This window comes from Homo sapiens, chromosome 6 (genome assembly GCF_000001405.40).
Source record: "Homo sapiens chromosome 6, GRCh38.p14 Primary Assembly".
Classification (NCBI taxonomy): Eukaryota; Metazoa; Chordata; class Mammalia; order Primates; family Hominidae; genus Homo; species Homo sapiens.
Window position 1 is genome coordinate 90,253,075 of NC_000006.12, and position 20,790 is coordinate 90,273,864.

Here is a 20,790-nt window from a genome sequence, read left to right on the forward strand (position 1 = left end):
CTCTACAAGACATACACAAATTAGCTAGGCATGGTGGTATGCAACTGTAGACCCAGCTACTTGGGAGGCTGAGGCAGGAGAATTGCTTGAGCCTGGGAGGTGAAGGGTGCAGTGAGCCAAGATTGCGCCATTGTACTCCAACCTGGATGACAGGAGTGAAATCTTGCCTCAAAAAAAAAAGGGAGGTACTTCTATAATTTGTCCACTACCTTTTAAGGAACTTTCTGATAAACTGGAGAAAGCAAAAAGGAGTGAGATCAGAATGACTGTGGAACTAATATTATGAGAAATATTGAGGGGAACTGGGCATAGATAACTTTGAAAAAGACTTTATTATGGCAGATTTGCCAAGTAAACTGATAATTAGAATTATTTTCGATATAGAAATTAGGATACCTTAGAAGAGGTATCTGCATTTGATGGGTGTTAAACTTCAGGATGTTTAAGGTCTTGCTCAACTCTACCAATCTGTAATTACATGGGGAAAAGTGCTATGTCCCTCATGAAATTAAATACTAAGAACTGGAGGGAGGCTGCATCAACAGATTTTCTGTATCATGTATTGAAGAGTTAATTTTCTCCAACCAAGCTAGTGAATGAAAGGGTAACTCAAGATGAAATAATGATGTCAAAGCATTTTTAATATACCTCGTGGAAGAATCCAAGTGTATTTTAAAGAGAAAACACAGCACTTGTTACACCATATATTTCATATTTGACCTGAAGTTGGTTACACAGAGGCCTTAGTCATAATAAAAAACTTCTCTCTGCTCAAATGCAGTATGTACATAGTCATAAATGAAAACATCATTGCCGAACTATTTTTTTTAAACTATCATGGCACAAATTGCTTTTAACAAAGAAGTCATATTCCAAAAGACCTTTTGTACACAATTGTGCAGTGTATCTTTGTCTTACTGTTTAGTATCCTAAAAGAAATAGTTTTCAAAATATCTACATTCATTTATAAAAACTTGAATGCAGGTAATTTAGCAACAAATCACAACTAGCTGAGAACTGACATAAAAGAATGATCTCCAGGGCCAGAAATAAACCCCAAAAGATAAGACATACTAGAAAAACATGAGAGAGAGAAACAAAATCAATAGACTATCATCTCAATATCTAGTATGAAGCTTGGTAAAGAGTTGATGAATAGAAATAAATGATCCCTACAGACAGACTCAATTAAGTATACAGCATAATTTGTTCATGAAAAAATGAGTATGTGAATCTTCCTAGATCTTTTCAAAAATTACTTAAAAATATTAAATAAACATTTTTAAAATGGGTATATTAAAGCATCCTAATAAAATGAAGCTGATTGATTGGTTGCTCTAAGGGAGTAGTGATAAAATAATCTGCTATATAAATCCTGGATCATATAATGGTATAATGCCCCTCAAAGGTAGTAGAGGAAGGTGGGTTTTAGGCCACTTTTAAATTAATTGCTCTCTACCTGTTTGAATCACACACAATATGTTTGGCTTTAAGAAAATAAAAAGGACCTAGAGCAGAAAAATAGCTTATACATAGTATCTATATATTATATTTAGAATATACATTTTATATTTAAGAGACATTTCCTCTTGGACTTTTATCCTACAATAAACAACTACAACCATAAAAACAGTACCAGCAAAACCCAATCTATAAGGAGATTTGTAGAAAAGTAACAACTTGATATATTCTAGCTGTATAAAGAGGTCTCTTGTCAATTCATTATCATCCACTTACAAGTATTTTATGTACATCTTAAAAGCCTGAAGAAGTTATTGTAATGTTTCAAACTCAAAACTACTCCCCTGAGCATTGATATAACTTATACTCCCTACAACCAACCAACCCAAATCTCAGTTTGCCTCCATTAACGCTCCAAAATAAGTCAAGATTGTAAATACAGTGGGTTCTCAATCAATTGACTTTTTCAACATCAGATGGGTGGCTGGAGCCTTCACAAACTTCAGAGCCCTAATAGAGATCCCCTTTTCTAGCCCACATAAATAATACAAATCATATCTCTATGATCATTAGAGATGCAAAAAATCGGTACAGGCCTTTCTCCCCTTCTAACACATTATCTTAGGCTTGTTTTATTTATTTAATTTTTACATTCCTCATGTGATCTGTGGCCACACAAGACTGATTCTCCAAACTGAACTTCATTCTATCTGCTCCACAATAAGCAATATTTATTCATTTTCACTCAACAATTGTTTACTAAAAATGTACTGTGTGTAAGACATTGTGCTAAGAGCAAGTAAGTACTAGGAAGTCACAGTTCTATCATCAAGTTTTAAATCTAGTAGGTGAAAGACTCATACAGAAGTATCAAGGCAGCCATGGGCCACCTGAGTGGTGAAACTGAGACCCAAAGAGTGTCAGGAAGACAGGAGGCACTCAACTGTGGTAAATGGGGAGAATGACAGAGGAGATGGCATTTGAGTTGGGCCTGAGAGGACAGGTTGTCCAGGATTTGGATTGACAATGATTTAAGGGAAGAGAAGAGGGAAGAAGAAAACAGCCAACTTTAAGCAAAGGAAACACAATGAGACAAATTTGCAAAAGCAAAAAATGTAATGAGCATTGCATACCACCAGAAGAGCAGGTGAATAAGGGTACTAGCTAGAAGCAGCAAGGTTCATTCATTTGTATTAGAGAAAAGTGCAAGATAAATGGTTCATCTGAACAATGGGTGGTTTCACAGGGTTTGAAAACATCTCTCCCTCTGTAAGTCATACTATCTCCGACTGAAGGGTCCAACGTGAAGCAGGAACGAAGGGGCCAGTCCTGTTTGGTTGTCCAGGTGCAGGACCCAAAACCAGCAACACACAGAGTGACATATGTTGTGACTATGCCCTTCTCATATCAACCCCAAAATGTACCGAAACACTGAAAAGACATTTTCCAACGGAGACTTGCCCAAGTTTTCCTTTTAAAACTATTCAGTTTTGAACCTCCAAATTCTGAATTTCAAACTCAACCACCTGCTTTCTCAGCAACTTCACCAGTGAACTCAATGTTGAAGCTCCTGGGGAAAAAAAAAATCTCACATAAAACGTACAGTGTGATAAATCCAGGCCTCATAGCATTAGCTGTGTCCTCCCACTTCCCACAGGGACTATTCCATGAAACTTATAGTGTCTTCTTCCTGGTGCACAGCTGGGCCACGTTTTCCAGCCTCCTTTGCAGCTAGTTGGTGACATGTGATTGAGTTCTACCACGAAATATAAGTGAAAGTGATTATGCTAATTTCTAGGCCTAATTTCTATGCTAATTTCTAGGCCTACTCCATAAAAACCTTCCATGTGTAACCTGCCATGTTTTTCCCCCTCTCTTGATGTGATGCAAACAAGCACAGTAACTCTGGGAGTCACATGGTGAAGATGGAGAAACTACAAGATGGAAGGAATCTGAATTCCTGAAGGATTTCCAGGAGGAAAATGTCACCTACCATTCATCAACACCCATTTAAGACCTCATGTGAATAAGGAAGAAACTTGTGTTAGAACAGTGAAATGTTGAGAAGTTATCTTGTATTTTTTTATTTTGAAAAATAATTTTTATTACGTATATTTATGGTATACAACGTGATGTTATAGGCTTAATATAGATAGTAAAAAGGTTACTGTAGTGAAGCAAATTAACATATCCATCATCTCAGTTACCCTATTTTTGTTTTTATGTTAAGAGCAGCTAAAATCTCACTTAGCATGAATCCCATACCTATAGTCTTCATACTGCACATTAGATCTCTATACTTGTTCATACTACTTTGTATCCTCTGACCTACATCTCTCCATTTCCTGCCCACAACCCATATCCCTGGTAACCACTGTTGTATTCTCTCTGCATATTTGAAATTTTTTTGGTTCCACATATAAGTAAGATCATATAATATGTCTTTCTTTGGCGTATTTCGCTTAGCACAATGGGCTTTCCCATGTTGTGGCAAATGACAAGCTCTCATTATTTTCTAGGGCTGAATAATATTCATTTTGTATAAACCAAATGTGGTATACTTACAGCCACTTCTTTCTCTATTTGTCCATCATCAGACACTTAGGTTGTTTCCATATCTTAGTTATTGTGAATCATGCTGCAGTGAACATGGGAGTGCAGACATCTTTATGAGGTGGTGATTTCATTTCCTTTGGGTATATGCCCAGAAAAGGAATGGCTGGGTCATATATGGTAGTTCTGTTTTTAATTTCTTTAGAAACCTCTATAACGTTTTCCATAACGGCTATACCCAATCTACATTCCCACCAACAGTGGACAAGAGTCCTCCACATCCTCACCAACATTTGTTATCTTTTGACTTTTTGATAACAGCCATCCTAACAGTTGTGAGGAGGTAAATCACAGTGGTTTTGATTTGCATTTCCCTGATATGATGTTGTGTACCCTTTCATATGCCTGTGGCCATCTTTGTGTCTTCTTTAGAAAAATGTCTACTCAGGCCTTTTGCCCATTTTATAAATCAGGTAATTCGTTTGTTCTTTGCTATTGAGTTGTATGAGTTCCTGATAAATTTTGGCTACTAACTCCTTACCAAATACATGATTTACAATATATCTGATGTACATTGGAATATTGGGATATACTGATTGGAATTTTTTCCCAATCTGTAGGCTGCTACTTCACTTTGTTGATTGTTTCCTTTACTGTACAGAAACTTTCTAGTTTGGTGTAGTCCCATTTATTTATTTTATTTTTGAGATGGAGTCTCACTCTGTCCTCCAGGCTAGAGTGCAGTGGCGCCATCTCGGCTCACTACAATCTCGGCCTCCTGGGTTCAAGCGATTCTCCTGCCTCAGCCTCCCAAGTAGCTGGAATTACAGGTGTGCGCCACCACACCCAGCTAATTTTTGTATTTTTAGTAGAGATGGGGTTTCACCATGTTGGCCAGGATGGTCTCGATCTCCTGACCTTGTGATCCCCCTACCTCAGCCTCCCAAAAGTGCCGGGATTACAGGCGTGAGCCACTGCGCCCAGCCCCCATTTATTTAATTTTGCTTTTGTGGCCTGAGCTCTTGTTGTGATATCCAAAAGCTGACTACCAACGCCAATGTCCAGGAGCTATTCCCCTATGTTCCTGTGTAGGAGTTTTATAGTTTCTGCTTTTATGTTTAGGTCTTTTATCAATTTTGAGTTGATTTTTGTATGTGGTATACGATAACAGTCCAATTCCATTCTTTTGCATGTGGAAATCCAGTTTTCTTAACATCCTATCAAAGAGACTATTCTTTTCCCATTGTGTCTTCTTGGTGCCCTTGTCAAAAATTAGTTGACTATATATACGTGGATTTATTTCTGGACTCTCTATTCTGTTCCACTGGTCTATGTGTCTGTTTTTATGCCTGTATAATACTGTCTTTATTACTATAACTTTGTAATATAATTTTTAAATCAGGAAGTATAATACCTCCAACTTTGTTTTGCTTTTTCATAATTGTTTTGGCTATTCAGGGTCTTTCATGGTTCTGTACAAATTTAAGAAGCATTTTTTCTATTTCTGTGAAGAAGGTCACTGGAATTTTGATAGAGATTGCACCGAATCTGTATATTGCTTTGGGTACTATGGACATTTCAACAATATTAATTCTTCTGATCCATGAGCATGTGATATCTTTCCATTTTTTTGTGCTTAATTTCTTTCATTAATGTTTTATAGTTTTCAGTGTACACATCTTTCACATTGGTTGAATTTATTCCTAGGTATTTTGTTCTTTTTGATGCTTTGTTAAGTGGGACCATTTTCTTCATGTTCTTTTCAAACAGACTGTAATTGGTATGAAAAAAAACGCAACTGATTTTGCATGTTGATTTTGCACCCCACAGCTTTACTGAATTCATTCGTTGTTCTAACAGTTTTTTTGTGTGGAATCTGCAGGGGCTTTTTTCCCCCCCTACAATATAGGATCACACCATCTGCAAATAGAGATAACTTTACTTCTTCCTGACCTCAATGCCTTTAATTTCTTTTCCTTATCTAATTACTATTGCTGGTACTTCCAGTACTATGTTGAATAGAAGTGGTGAAAGTGGGCATCCATGCCTGCCTGATACTAGACCTTCATGGAAAAACTTTCAGTTTTCCCCCATGTATTATAATGTTAGCTGTGGGTTTTTCATAAATGGCCTTTATTACACAGAGAAGCTTTCCTTCTATACATACACTATTGAGCATTTTTCTCAATAAAGGATGTTGGACTTTGTCAAATGCTTTTTCTGTGTCAATTAAGATTATCATGTGATTTTTATCTTTCATTCTGTTAATGCAATGTATCACTACTGATTGATCTGCAGATGTTAAACCAGCTTTGTATGCCAGGGATAAATCCCACTTAGTCATGACATGTAATCTTTTTGATGTGTTGTTGGATTTGGTTTCCTAATATTTTACTGGGGCTTTTTGCACCAATATTCATCAGAGAAATTGGGTTTAAATTTTCTTTTCTTGTGATGTCTTTGGCTGGCTGGGTATCAGGGTGATCCTGGCCTCATAAAATGTGTTTGAAAGTATTCCTTCTAGTTCTATTTTTTTGGAAGAGTTTAAGAAGTACTGGTATCAATTCTTTGAATGTCTGGTAGAACTCAGCTGTGAAGCTATCTGTTCCTGGGCTTGTCTTTGTTGAGAGGTTTTTCATTACTTCTCCAATCTATTTGTGATTGGTCTGTTACAGGCTTTCTATTTCTTCCTGAGTCAATCCTGGTAGGTTGTATTTTCCTAGGAATTTATCTGTTTCCTCTAGGCCACCCAATTTGTTGGCATATAATTGTTCGTAATAGGGACTTATCATCCTTTTTATTCCCGAGGTGTCTGTTGTAATTTCTTCAATTTCATTTTTGGTTTTACTTGAGTTTTCTTTTTTCTTTGTTAGACTATCTATGGGTTTGCCAATTTTACTTAAAAAAAAACCCAACTCTTAAGTTTATTGATTCTTCCTGTGGCTTTTCTATTATCCATTTAGTTTATGTTTGTTCTGATTTTTATTTCTTTCCTTCTACTAATCTGGTTTTAGTTTGTTCTTTTTCTAGTTCCTTGAGGTGTAATGTCACACTATTCATTTGAGATCTTTCTTCTTTTCTAATGTAGGCATATATTGCTATAAACTTTCCTCTCAGAACTGCTTCTCCTATATCCCATCAGTTCTGGTATATTGTGTTTCCGTTGTCATTTGTCTCAAGGCATTTTTTAAATTTATCTTTTAATTTCTTCTTTGACCCATTGGTTGTTCTGGGGCATGTTGTTTATGTTCCAGATATTTGTGAATTTTTCAAGATTCCTCCTGTCACTGATGTCTAGTTTATACCACTGTGGTTTGAAGTTATATCTGAAATGATACTAGACATAATTTCAATCTTAAATTTTGTGGCCTAACATATGGTCTATCCTGGAGAATGTTCTATGTATACTCTAGAAAAACTTTACATTCTGCTGCTGTTGGATGGAAAATTCTGTACATGTCTATTGGGTCCATTTGGCCAAAAATGCAATTCAAGTCCTGCATTTCTTACTAATTTTCTGTCTGAATGATGTACATGTTGTTGAACTGAGAAGTTATTTTTACAGCAGCTAGCATTACCTTAATAATATACACATTTCGACCAAATTCTTTATGTTAGTTTGGGTCTACCCAGAAGCAAGTACCAAGATAGAACTAGAAATACAAAAGATATATTGAGAAAGGAAGCCACAGAATGTGGGAGGTCCTTCAAACCACACCTATGGACATGGAGAGGAAAGGAAGAAGGAATGGCTAGGAAGTCTTGGATTCCAACACAGTTCCAAGAAAGGTCTGCTCAGGCCAATAGGAGTTCTTGAGCCAATTTGGCCCACTGGAAAAGTCCTGTGTCCCACAGGAATGAGCCTGAAATAGGAGCCCCTATTGTGCTTGGTCATGACTGGGAGACGCTAGTGGCAATTTGTAGTTTAGTACAATGCAAGGGTGGCTGCAGAGGGGCAGCAGTTGGGCCATCAGTCAACTACGCTTCTAGCTGTAGATCTAAGCACTTATTTTCATGGACACTACACCCCTCAAACTTCCAACTTTCAAGACCTACAATCCCTTATCCATATCCACACCCAGTCTTTCCTCCTTTGTTCCCATCTATTAAAAACTGAGTTGTCCTTTGTCTAGCCCAAAGCTAATCTTGCCATGTGTTCTAGCTTACGTGCCATCAGATCTGCTTAGAGACATTATTCCATCAGTTATCTCCTTCTTCTTCCTGTCTAATGGATTATATCTATCCTCCAGGATGTAAACTTGCTTGAGATTTTAACCTTGAAAAAGAATATTAAAAAAATGTTCCTTGACAACTCTTGCTCTCCTTCCCTTAGTATCTAAGCTCCTTGAAAGAGTAGTATAAATGAACCATCTCATTTCTTATTTTTCACCACCCACTAATTGCTCTTGCTAGGATTACTGAACCTACCAGTTGACACATCCTGGAACCCTTGCTTGACCCCTCTGAAGTATTCAACATTCTTGACTACTCCCTCCTTCTGCAGATTCCTGCTTTGGGTTCGTGGAGCACCCTATCCTCAGGTTTTCCTCATACCCTCAGATCATTCCTTCTAAAGCTTCTTTTTATTTGCTTCCTCCTTAAAAGTCCACTTCCTAGGGCTTATATCATTGGTTCTCTCTGTTCTCTGTTTCCTACATTAATATCGCCCCTTGATCTCACGATCTAATTGAGCACTTATATACTTATATACTGATGAGATCACTCATGTAGTCACCCATGTAGTCTCAATACTCATAACCAATCAGTTACCAAGTTCTGAGGATTCTATTTCTTAACTGGCTCTCAGCACCATCATCTCCTTATCTCCCCACTGCCACTGCCCCATGAACTTCTGTAGGAGCAGAGTGACCCTCTCGCCTTGGATTCCATTCCTACTTATCTGTACCTCCACAGTGCTGCAAGAGAATATTTCTAAAGCACAAATTTCATCATGAAACCTCTGCATTGAGATTCCTGAAGTTGTTCCCCACTGACTACAGGATGAAGGCCAGCCTCCTTGGCATGGTACGTAAGGTCCTTCATAATCAGTTTTAGTCTGATCTTCCTCCACTACCTTCTCCATGTTCCCAAACTCTCATTATATGAAGTTATTTGAAATTCATACAATGTGGCATATGTTTCATGCTTCTATGGCCTTGTATGGGCTCTTTGCCCAAAATGCTCTATGACCCTGCCCTAACTGGGGGAATCTACTGTGCATTCTTTCAATGTTTGGTTTGGGATTCATTTGTACAGCGATGACTTTTACAGACCAATTCACCTATCTGTGGAGCCCCTTCCCATCCCCACGCCCCATTCCCAGGCCATTCAAGTGGCTGTTGTGTTGTTAGTACCCATTCATGGGTACCATGCGTGCACATGATTCCAGGACAGCAATCCTGCCCTGTTCCTTTTTGACTAGCACTGACACAGAGTAGGCACTAAATGGATGTTTACTGACTGAAAGAATGAATGATGTACAGACCCAATCTCCGAAGTTTGGCCTCACAAAATTTGCCTCTGAAAAACAAAATTATCACAGAGTAGCCAAAAACCATGATGACACCAATCAACATTACATGCACACACTGGTGTCCAAGTGCAGGTAGTGACATCTCCAATTTACACGTGAAAAGTGGATACTTGGCATTAAAGGAGAAAGATTCAAATGGTCTACGTAAGACAGCCACAAAGATAGCTCAAGAGCTATTATCCCAAGGGACACGCATTAACTGTTAGTAAGTATATAAACTAGAGTTCACATTTCACACAGAACTTTCTAACACAAATTGGAAACAGGAGACGATTAAGCTGATCTAAGGAAAAGCATGGCTTTGATACACAAGAAACTACACATGCATTTTACATTAAATGCTTTTTAAAATTCACTCACAGAAAAGAGTACAACAATTATTTTAAAAGTCACAGTTTGTAAATTTGATATGTAAAATTGGAATTTAAAATAAAAAATCTCCATGGCCACTGAAGGCTGAAAGAGTAAAAAGAAAAAGGAAATAAAAGACAAAATGTGTAGTTTCAAACTCTCTGTGATGCATCTCACCCCTGATCAGTGGGAAGCCAGTTATCACATTGAAGACACTAGGTAAGCACAAGAGTTTACTGAAAATGGACCTTTTCATGAAAAATCATGGGTCAAACATCTCTATGACATACACTGCTGTTAAAGGAAACACATAGTTTCTCATTCTTGACATGATGATGCCTGATGTGCTTAGTTAGACAGACAGCTTAATATGGTTCCCCTCCCAAAGCTTAGTGAAAATAGCTTTTTTAAAAAATTTGAAAAATAAATCCCCAAACATAATTCTTCTGGCAAAATATTAAATCCTACCGAAGAAGGAGGCTTTCAGGGAAACAGTCCAAATAAACCTTTTAATTTGTTTAATGTTCTATAAGCTATTGGTATCAAGAAAATGTATATCTTTGTTTTAAAATAGACAAATTAGTGATGCATCTACATGCCATCCACTTAACTTTGTTCCTGCTGTTCAGCCTTTATAAGAGTAGCATTTTTTCTTGCGCTGACTCCTGAAGCCTAAATCTGCAAAAGTCTGTGATGACATCAAGCTTAACATTTTGCCAAGCCTGTAAAATTATTTCTCAAAATAGTGTGCTAACACATCAGCTTTTACTCAAACCTAAATTAAATGTCAGGAAAGGACTCCCATGTTTACACTAACTGCCCATTAGTAAACATTTCTGACTGTAATAACTGAAGGTCCCATGTTCTCAAGGTAATGGCACCAGCAAAATCCCTTGAAAATTTGCTCCTAACCACAAGTCTAAGTAGGATGTGGTCACTCAGGTTTTAGATTGATGATGCTGAAGAAATGTATTTACAGGCTGAAAAGCTTATAACCCTGGCCAAAACACTGACTTCAGAGCACCAGGAGAAACTCCTTGGACTAGATAAAGTAAATATTTGAAGAAAATCTGCATTCATTGAGTGATTTGCTGGTATATACAAAATTTATCCTTTAAGGAACCAAACAGGAGTTCTAATTACCTCCCTATATTTCTTCTCCTTATACTTTCCAAGTTCAATTACAGCTTTGTTCAATCTCTGCCTTTTTTACTCTTTTGTCCTCTGTCTGAAGTTTTCAATTAAGACTTACTTTATAACAGGATTGTGGTTACGTAGGAAAATGTTCTTATTCTTCAGAAATGATGCTGAGGTCTTCAGGGAAAAATGTCATGAAAGTAAGTCTGCAACTTACTTTTAAATAGTTCTAAAAAATGAACCCCTCTTGCCAACACACATACAAAACTATAAATTCAGAGACAAAATAACAAATATTAATAATTGGCAAATATAAACAAAGGGTATATAAATGTTCTTCATATGATTCTTTCATCTCCTCTCTAGGTTTGAATTTTTCAAAAGGAAAAGAAAAAAATTTTAAAAGAATTACTTAATGAGCACCAGGTTTTCAAATTGTAAATGCATTTCTTGAGCATCACATATCCAAAACTTGAGAGGCCTAGGGCTAAAGAAATGTCAAGACTAACAAAAGACATGTTGTTGTCCTCTACAGACATGATGTTGACTCAATTTGCACATCCTGGAAGTGTGTATCTGGGATGGAGGTGAAGAGGCATTCACAGCCAGGCATTTTTCTCCAGAAAGCTGTCCCTTTGGGGTTTCCTCGTCTTTCCCTCCCAGTGAGACCCTGGTTCACCTGCTGTCTCTCCAGCTGTCAAGCAGTGGTTCCTGGGAAGTCTGGGAGACCCGTGAGAGGTTGGAGGTAGATTCAAAGCACCCTCATGGAATGAATTTACCAAATAAACAACTGCATGTTAGACCTGTACATTTAAAAACATAAGTGCTACAAATATTCTTAAAAGGCTTTCAAAATTTCAGTGAAGACAAGAATGCTTTTTCAAATGTTTATGTAAAAATCTTATACAAGCTGTTTGCTATTATAGTCAGGATATATTTGGTGAGAAAAACAAAACATTGTAACTCAAGGCATGCTCCATTTCAGACAAAACATGAACTCTCTCCTTTAATTATATCAGCCATTACAACAAGAAAACCTTGTAAAAGGTTCACACATGGGGCCCACATTATGGGGATCCACTTCACCCTCAGAGAGGCTTGTTACACAGCTGAGAGAGAGCATGGTGGAGGACAGTTGCTTCTCCCTTTTTTATAAAATCCTTCCCATTTGCTCTAAAATAGAATTTCTAAATAACAGCACCCAAAGAGTGCTCAAAATAGGATACTAAACCACTTTGGAGGGCAAGACAGAAGTCTCTTGTCAGCTTCCACAAGAAAGAGAACTTTAGGCTGTACAAGTATTTTCTTTGGGATGCAAACACTTTGATATAAAAGTAACTTTCTTTAATATATTTGTGCTAACATGATGGGAAATGCCCAACTCACACATCAGGATCTTAGTGATAGTGCATCTATCCTGAACATGGCTGTCTTAATTAGCCCGATGTGTCTATGGTAATAAACACCACGCTGCAGAACAACTCAATATACCCAGGTGAAATCTTTACCACTTAAAACACTTTAGACGGCTTGTAATCAATTGGATGGCATTTTCCCAATGAGAAATCCTAACTGCAAGGTAAGGTACCTTTCTATCTATAGTGAGTGTTGACTTACGTTGCAGGCATGGTGCTAAGAGACTTCCTCTGCATTATCAACTCATTTTAAACTTAATACTACCTTGTGAAGTATGTAATGTCCTGGGCACCAGATAGAAGAGGACAGAGAAGCACTGAGAACAGAAGAAATGAACATTTATCAAGTACTACCACATGGTACTGTAACAGTGCTCTCTATACATTATCCCATGTAACTATCTCTACAACCCTATGATGTAAGTATTAGTAATGCCATTTTACCAGGGAGAAAACTGAGAGATACATAACTGGACTAAGGCTGCAGAGATGGGAAATGAGCCTATACTGTCATATGCCCAGGTACTATGTGGGCACAATTCCTCCTGATCACCACATTCTACAAGCTCCAACCCAGATGCTAAAGGTAGAGGCAACAACCATGGAGGAATAGCCATGAATGTTCCTTGCGGCCACTGCACCCATGGAGGCTAGAGCAGACCTAGTGCCCTGAGGGTGGGATGTAAATTCCTTTTTAAATCCAGAGGGTGTGATATGGAGGGTCTATCTCTGGTTTAACGAAGATACTGAAGCCAGTGAAAACAGATCCCAAATCTGGCCCCACGACTGACCCAGCCTCCTAAAGAGCCTGTAGATGACCAACTACAGAGAGAGGAAGGCTCTAGAAGACAGAAGATGCTCCCTGGGAGGTTCTTTTCAGCTGTCTTTCTTCTTCCCTCATGCCTCTCTATGACTTAACTTGGCATCTAGGTGCACATGGGCAATTGTTCACAGCAGCCAAAAGGTGGAAACAACCCTAATATCAACTGGTAAATGGATAAACAAATTATTGTATATTGTAGCATACAATAAAATTTTATCCAGCCACAATAAGGAATGAAGTACTGATACACACAACAATACAAATGAACCTCAAAAATGTTATGCTAAATGAAAAAAGCCAGACATAAAAAATCACATACTGCATGACTCAATTTATATGAAATATCCAGAAAAGGTGAAACCATAGACGCAGGAAGCAGAGAAGTGGTTTCCAGGGGTTGAGGGATAAGGGGAATGAGGAGTGACTGCTTAATGGGGACGGAGTTTCCTTTGGGGTGAGGAAAATGTTTCAGAACTGGATAGAGGTCCCAGTCGCACGGCACTGTAAATGTACTATATGCCACTGAATTGTACACTTGAGGAGGGTTAATTCTATATGAACTTACCTCAATTTTTTAAAAGTACACATGGCAACGCATAGTCTTTGAGCAATCTTGAATAACGATATACACTATGCCAAGCTATAAAGATGCCCCACCCTGTGCCCTTTTTACATTACACACAAATAGGGACGGATTTCCTGTAAGCTGATCTTGAAGAAAAAAAACATGTTAGACAAAGAAAATCAGAACTAAGACATCTCCCCCCCACCAAAAAACCCTCAACACTGTATCTTTGTTCTTTTCCCATGTCCTCTACCCTACTAAAACGAACAAATAATATAAACCCCAACCACTGAGTGTACCACAGACAGAAAACTTGGTACACAAAAGACCTAATAAAATAAAATCTGTCAAGTTTTGTTGCCCCCAAATTGAATAGAAAGATCCAGCAGGCCCTTAAACATATGAAAAGAAGCACACTCTTGCTGGCAATCAGGGGAACTCAAATTAAAACAGCTAGTGATCACTTTACACCGCAGAGAGAGAACACTTAAAAAGACTCCTAACACCTGGCAGGGGTGAGGCAAACAGGTACTCTCATATTTTGCAGGTGTGACTCTACAGCAATGCAACTTTTTTGGAGTATCATCTGACATCATGCATGAGTCACTGACTCCGTTTTTAGGAATCTATCCTTCAAATATCAAAGTAGATACACATGAATATATGTACAAGAATTTAACTGCAGTGTTGTTAGGAATGGTAAAAACCTAGAATGCTCTTGAAGGTATATCAGCTGGGGAATAATTGAATAAACTATGGTACAACGATACCATAGGATATTATGCAACTGTTAAAAAGAGCCACTAGATTCATATTTGATAAGGATAAATGTTGTAACAAAATATTAAAGAAAGTTGCAGAGTATTGTTTATGATGCCATTTTCATAGCAGAAAAAATGTCCCTTCTCCATGTAAAGGTATATGTTTGTATGTATGTATATGATGTATAGAGAAAGGAAAAGAACCAGAGGAGTGGGAGAAAGACAATCAACTTTTTCTATATTCACCTAAATATTATTTTATGCATTGTCCTACAATTTTTTTTAAAATAGAAAAAGTTTAAGTAAACAGCATTTTTTTCTGCACTTGCCTTTTTTGTTTTTTTTTTTTTTTCAAGACAGGGTCTTGCTCTGTCGCCCAGGCTAGAGTGCAGTGCCATGATCTTGGCTTACTGCAACCTCTGCCTCCTGGGTTCAGGCAATTCTCATGCCTCAGCCTCCTGAGTAGCTGGGATTACAGGTGCACACCACCATGCCCAGCTAATTTTTGTATTTTTAGAGACGAGGTTTCACCATGTTGGCCAAATTTGCCTCAAACCCCTGATCTCAAGTGATCTGCCTGCCTTGGCCTCCCAAAGTGCTGGGATTACAGCCATGAACCACTGTACCCGAACTGCACTTGCCTTTTATACATGCAAGAAATGTGAAGGGGACAGTCCCCAAAAACCCACTTTGAGGATATGTTCTGAAATTAGTATCTACTGAACTTCAGTCTCCTAAGTTGTATATATTCTGTCCAACAGTGCAACTCGAACTGGACTCTGCAGACCAGCCCTAGTCCCAGAATAAGCACAGAAACTGAGAGTAGACCTTTAGAATTTTTTTACAGCAGCTTGCCAGAGTAATTTTATGTCTGTTGACTATAAGAATAATAAATGTTTAATCAGGCTTATGTTTTTAGTTTCTTTAAATTTCATTTTTCTAGTATTTCATTTTTCTAGTAAATCATTTTTATTGTATTTTATAAAATTATCAATCCATGACATACTGGAAATTAAAAACAAAACTGGTCCTTCACCCAAGATAATTAGAGAAGCAAAACTCTAAACAATGAGAGTCAATGTTCATAATGATAAAACATAGTAATATAAGATATTTAGGAACTTTAATAATGAAAGATTAGATTCTATTGAGAATACATGCTAATATATTCAAACTCTTATGAAAAAAGATACTAAATAGATCAGAAGAAAGCTTTCTGGTAATAAGAACAGATTACTAACCATTCTAGGTAAATAATTAAGTTCATTCTTGTCAGGAAAAATGAACTCTAGTTTCTATTTTCAAGTGAAGACTAAGAGACCTGGAGAATAAATGAAACCCCATACAACTCCAAAACCAGCTACCCAGAGTTCAGCCAGACACTTTAACTTTTGCTGAACAAAATTAACTTCATTTTCATTTTTTTCTCCCCTCTCGTCCTTCTGAATGAAGATGCTAATAGCAACAGAAAACAGTAACAGAGACAAGTGGCAGGGTTAGGTGGGGCTAAGGTCTGACTACTCCGTGCAGATTCTATTTAATAAAGTTTCACCTACCAATATTCTATGCTGGGGGTGAGGGGTGGGAAGGGAAGGGAGAGAGCTTACATACTCCTAAGTCTTCTGAGTTTTCTAAAAGTTGATACACCAAGTTACAGTTACCCAGAAAAACTGGTGGGAAGAATAAAGAACCAAAAAACATACTTACAGTCCAAAAGTAAAAAATATCATTTGTACATACAAATTTCTTCTCCCCTTCCTAAATTTTTTAAACTAATGCTATAGTGAGGTGCATTTCCAAATCTGGCAGCTTAAATAAAATCAACTGTAACTAGCATTGTGGTGAATGAAATGCTTTACAACTCACAGCTGTGACACTGAAATAAGGAAATCCTGGATTCCCACCAAGGGGTAACCAGCATCAAAAGACAGGGCACATTTTGATGTTTTGAGAATTTCTGAGAAGTCAGAGAAAATTTAGGTTATTTTCATATCGGTTGGACTTTCCATAATAAAAGAGCCCTAAAACAAATAGCAGCCCCAAGTGTGGCAGTGCTATATTGTTTGGATTCCTTATAACAATCAGTGTGTTCATAAGATGCTTAGAAATACACAGAATAAGCTGATGGCCCCGGTGAGTGGGACACACGCTGGGCAGCTGTGTGAACTTTTAAAATTTTAATTTAATTTTTATTTTATTTCAATAGTTTTGGGGGAACATATGGTTTCTGGTTACATGGATAAGTTCCCTAGTGGAACTTCACTCTGAGTCTCCAGAGTCCATTATATCATTCTTATGATACACTATATTTGGTTTTCCATTCCTGAGTTACTTCACTTAGGATAATGGTCTCCAATTCCATCCAGATTGCTGTGAATGCCATTATTTTGTTCCTTTTTATGGCTGAGTAGTATTTCATGATGTATATATACCACATTTTCTTTATCCACTCATTGGTTGATGGGTATTTAAGCTGGTTCCATATTTTTGAAATTGCGAATTGTGCTGCTACAAACATGCATGTGCAAGTGTCTTTTTCATATAATGACTTCTTTTCCTTTGGGTAGATAATAGTGGGATTGCTAGATGGAATGGTAGTTCTACTTTTAGTTCTTTAAGGAATCTCCACACTGTTTTCCAGAGTGGTTGTACTACCTAAGAAACTCTAAAGACTCATCCAAAAAGCTCCTAGATCAGTAAGGTCTCAGGAGGCAAAATCAATGAACACAAATCAGTAGCACTGCTATACACCAACCGTGACCATGCTGAGAATCAAATCAAGAATTAAATCCCTTTTACAACAGCTGCTAAATAAACAAATAAAATACTTAGGAATACACCTAACCAAGGAGGTGAAAATCTCTACAGGGAAAACTACAAAACACTGCTGAAAGAAATAATCGATGGCACAAACAAATGGAAACATATTTCATGCTCATGGATGAGTAGAATCAATATTATGAAAATGACCATACTGACAAAAGCAATCTACAGATTCAATGCAATTCCCATCAAAATACTATCATCATTCTTCATAGAACTAGAAAAAACAATCCTAAAATTCACAAGGAACCAAAAAAAGGTACACATAGCCAATAGAACAAAAGCAAAAAGAAGAAATCTGGAGGCATCACATTGCCCAATTTCCAACTATACTACAAGGCTATAGTTGCCAAAACAGCATGGTGCTGGTATAAAAACAGGCACATAGACCAATGGAACAGAACAGAGAATCCGGAAATAAAGCCAAATACTTACAGCCAACTGATCTTTGACAAAGCAAACAAAAACATAAAGTGAGGAAAGAATACCCTATTCAATAAATGGTGCTGGAATAATTGGCAAGCCACATGTAGAAGAATGAACTGGATCCTCATCTCTCACTTTATACAAAAATCAACTCAAGATGAATCAAAGACTTAAATCTAAGACCTGAAACCATAAAAACTCTAGAACACTGGAAAAACTCTTCTAGACATTGGCTTAGGCAAAAAGTTCATGCCTAAGAACCCAAAAGCAAATGCAACAAAAACAAAAATAAATAGTTGGGACCTAATTAAACTAAAAAATCAACAGAGTAAAAAGACAACCCACAGAGTGGGAGAAAATCTTTGCAAACTATGCACCTGACAAAGGACTAATATCCAGAATCTACAAGGAACTCAAATCAGCAAGATAAAAACAACCCCATTTAAAAAAAAAAAAAAAAGAAAAAAGAAAAAAGAAAGGAAAAGAAAAAAAAAGAAAAGAAAAAACATTGTTTATGAAGTTCAGAGCTTGGAGATTCATTCAAGTATTGATTGCAGTTTTATTTTGAAAAGAATGCTACAATTTATGTGGTTTTTCTCATGTTTATATTAAAAGCTAATAAACTAATTTAAAAAGAACCTATCAAAAACTGGGCAAAGGACATGAACAGACAATTCTCAAAAGAAGACATCCAAATAGCCAACAAACATAAGAAAAAATGCTCAACATCTCTATTAGGGAAATGCAAATTAAAAGTGCACGAGATACCATCTTACTCCTGTAAGAACGGACATAACTGAAAAACAAAAAATAATAGATGCTGGCGTGGATCTGGTAAAAAGGGAACACTTTCACACTGCTGGTGGGAATGTAAGCTAGCTGTGTAAACTTATGAAACAAAGACCAAGCTGAGGTCCTTGCCTCACCTGCTGTGCTTCAAGGGCTCATCAGCTTGGTCCCAAATGATGTCTTCAGTAGGTGGCGAAATGTTAAAACTGGGAGCTATGTGAACGAACGCGCTGAAAGACAAAACACGTTAGATCAGTTAGGTCACTATAACAAAACGTAGTATCATGCAACCAAGTGCTGTTAACCAACTTCCTTCTCTGCTTGACATTGAACTACCTGCAAATTTAGTGCTTAGAAAAGGTCCAGGGACTTGCCCATGAGGAAGAACTCAGCAATACCACAGACTTTAATGCAACTGGATTTCACCTCCTCATGTCACCAAGACTTACTGTGCAGGGTACAAATGGCCTTCTTCCGTGTCAAATCTTATGTCCCCCTTTCACTCTTGTTCTCCTTGACTTCTTTGTAGTGTCTGACACTGTTCAGTAGTTTTTTTTTTCCTCTTTTTATTCTCCTCTCTCTCCTGCTTCGCCTGTTTCTTTTATGGTTTCCTGCTCCTCTTTCTCCTTCTGCTTCTTGACCAAGGACACTTTTTAAGGCCCTGGGTTTTTCTCTCTCCCTCAGAAATCGTCTGTTCCCAGCACATCAATTCTCTCCTTGCAGATAGCCCCCCAATCATCCCCATTCCCTCCCTTGAACTCCTCTCCTTTATTCTCAACTCTCCAGTGAGCCATTTTTCCTGCATATGGTATCTCTACTGCATATGCTCTTCAAAAGCCTTCATTTCTTGCTGCAACACTACTGCTGTGGAAAAATGAGCTTGTCTATTGACCTCATTGATTTCTGCAATAGCAGAATTATCCTCCCAGCCAACCAAGCTCCAAATCTTAGATTCATTTTTGCTCATTCCCTCTTCTTCAATTCCAGTCATTCATCAAGGCCTCTTGATTTGTTACATCTCACCTCTATCTTTTGCTACCCACTTACACTGACCAGATCCTGCTTAGCTGAGAAAAACTCCCTCTTCTCTTCTTTCCTAATGTTTCCTCTTGTAAAATTGGCCAGCGTGCTGCTGCCATTTTGATCTTTCTATCACTACCCCTGCCATTTTCATCTTCCTCTCGCTATCCCCAGCAATTTGAGAATCCTCATCACCCCTCTAACAAGCAACCTGCATTGCCCAGTAGAGAGAAAACAAGACAGCAGAGTAGCTAAGAACTCAGGCTCTGGATCCTGGTGGCCATGCTTTGAATCACAGTTCCACAACTTAACTGCTATGTGCCTCAGTCTCCTCATCCCTCAATGAAGGCCAGGTGCAGTGGCTCACACCTGTAACCCCAGCACTTTGGGAGGCTAAGGCGGAGGATCGCTTGAGGCCAGGTGTTCAAAACCAGCCTGGATAACATAACGAGTTCCTGTTTCTATGGGGAAAAAAAATTAGCCAGGCATGGTGGCACACACCTGTAGTCCTGGCTACTCAGGAGGCTAAGGCAAAAGGATCACTCGAGCCCAGGAGTTCGAGGCCACCATGAGCTACGATCATACCACTGCACTCCAGCCTGGGCAACAGAGCAAGACTCTGTTTCTAAAAAAAGTGGGGGCAGGAGGGACTTGATAATATCTCCTGCAAAGGCTTGCTGTGAAGATAAGAATAGTTAAAAGGTGTGAAGAACTTAGAAGAGTGCCTAGCACAGTAAGCACTCCATTAAGTGTTAAATGGTAATGGCTCCCAGCTGGACTGGCCCACACAGCATCTCCTAAACCTGTGTGCTCACCCTTCCTTTGTTATTACACCTTCCATCATTTGGCTTATACAGTGTGGAAACTCTTCTTCTCTTGGCTCCTCTATACAAATTCTGCCCACTGTCAAGGCTCGGGTCTGATTTCCCACTCAGCCAGTGGGAAATCTGAGTACTTCAGCTGCAAACTAGCTTTTCTGCCTCTGAACTTCTAGAATATTTACTAGATGTCCCTAAATCAAGTTGTTTTTTAAATTACTGAGTGTGGAGGGAAGCTCACAGGCTGGAAATTACTGGTGATGGAGCTGGAGGTCTTGCTCTTTCCTCTGGGTGCCCCTAAGTGGGTAATGTCTC

At 38.1% G+C, this 20,790-nt stretch overlaps 1 protein-coding gene across 2 annotated transcripts in view, besides 4 other annotated features; it reads right to left on the bottom strand.

The window, feature by feature from the left end:
• Positions 1-20,790, bottom strand: part of BACH2 (BACH transcriptional regulator 2) — a 370,316-nt gene that overhangs the window by 326,547 nt on the left and 22,979 nt on the right. Inside the window, exon 2 of one of the 2 annotated variants that reach the window (NM_021813.4) lies at positions 18,775-18,867. The exons of the other annotated variant lie outside the window; for it this stretch is intronic. The gene's annotated coding sequence lies outside the window, so the exon portion shown is untranslated. The remainder of the gene's footprint in view (positions 1-18,774; positions 18,868-20,790) is intronic. 2 annotated transcript variants of the gene reach the window in all.
• Positions 18,792-18,936: an enhancer, noted in NCBI's record as "145 bp 6:90981657 sequence used in MPRA reporter constructs". NCBI's record gives its function as "activates a minimal TATA-containing promoter with rs45553631 allelic activity by MPRAs in C283T melanocytes {active_cell/tissue: C283T}" and the evidence as "EXISTENCE:reporter gene assay evidence [ECO:0000049][PMID:36423637]".
• Position 18,864: a transcriptional cis regulatory region, noted in NCBI's record as "rs45553631 or 6:90981657 MPRA-significant variant associated with a GWAS melanoma risk locus at 6q15". NCBI's record gives its function as "allelic transcriptional activity by MPRAs in C283T melanocytes {active_cell/tissue: C283T}" and the evidence as "EXISTENCE:reporter gene assay evidence [ECO:0000049][PMID:36423637]".
• Positions 19,522-19,666: an enhancer, noted in NCBI's record as "145 bp 6:90982387 sequence used in MPRA reporter constructs". NCBI's record gives its function as "activates a minimal TATA-containing promoter with rs969577 allelic activity by MPRAs in UACC903 melanoma cells {active_cell/tissue: UACC903}" and the evidence as "EXISTENCE:reporter gene assay evidence [ECO:0000049][PMID:36423637]".
• Position 19,594: a transcriptional cis regulatory region, noted in NCBI's record as "rs969577 or 6:90982387 MPRA-significant variant associated with a GWAS melanoma risk locus at 6q15". NCBI's record gives its function as "allelic transcriptional activity by MPRAs in UACC903 melanoma cells {active_cell/tissue: UACC903}" and the evidence as "EXISTENCE:reporter gene assay evidence [ECO:0000049][PMID:36423637]".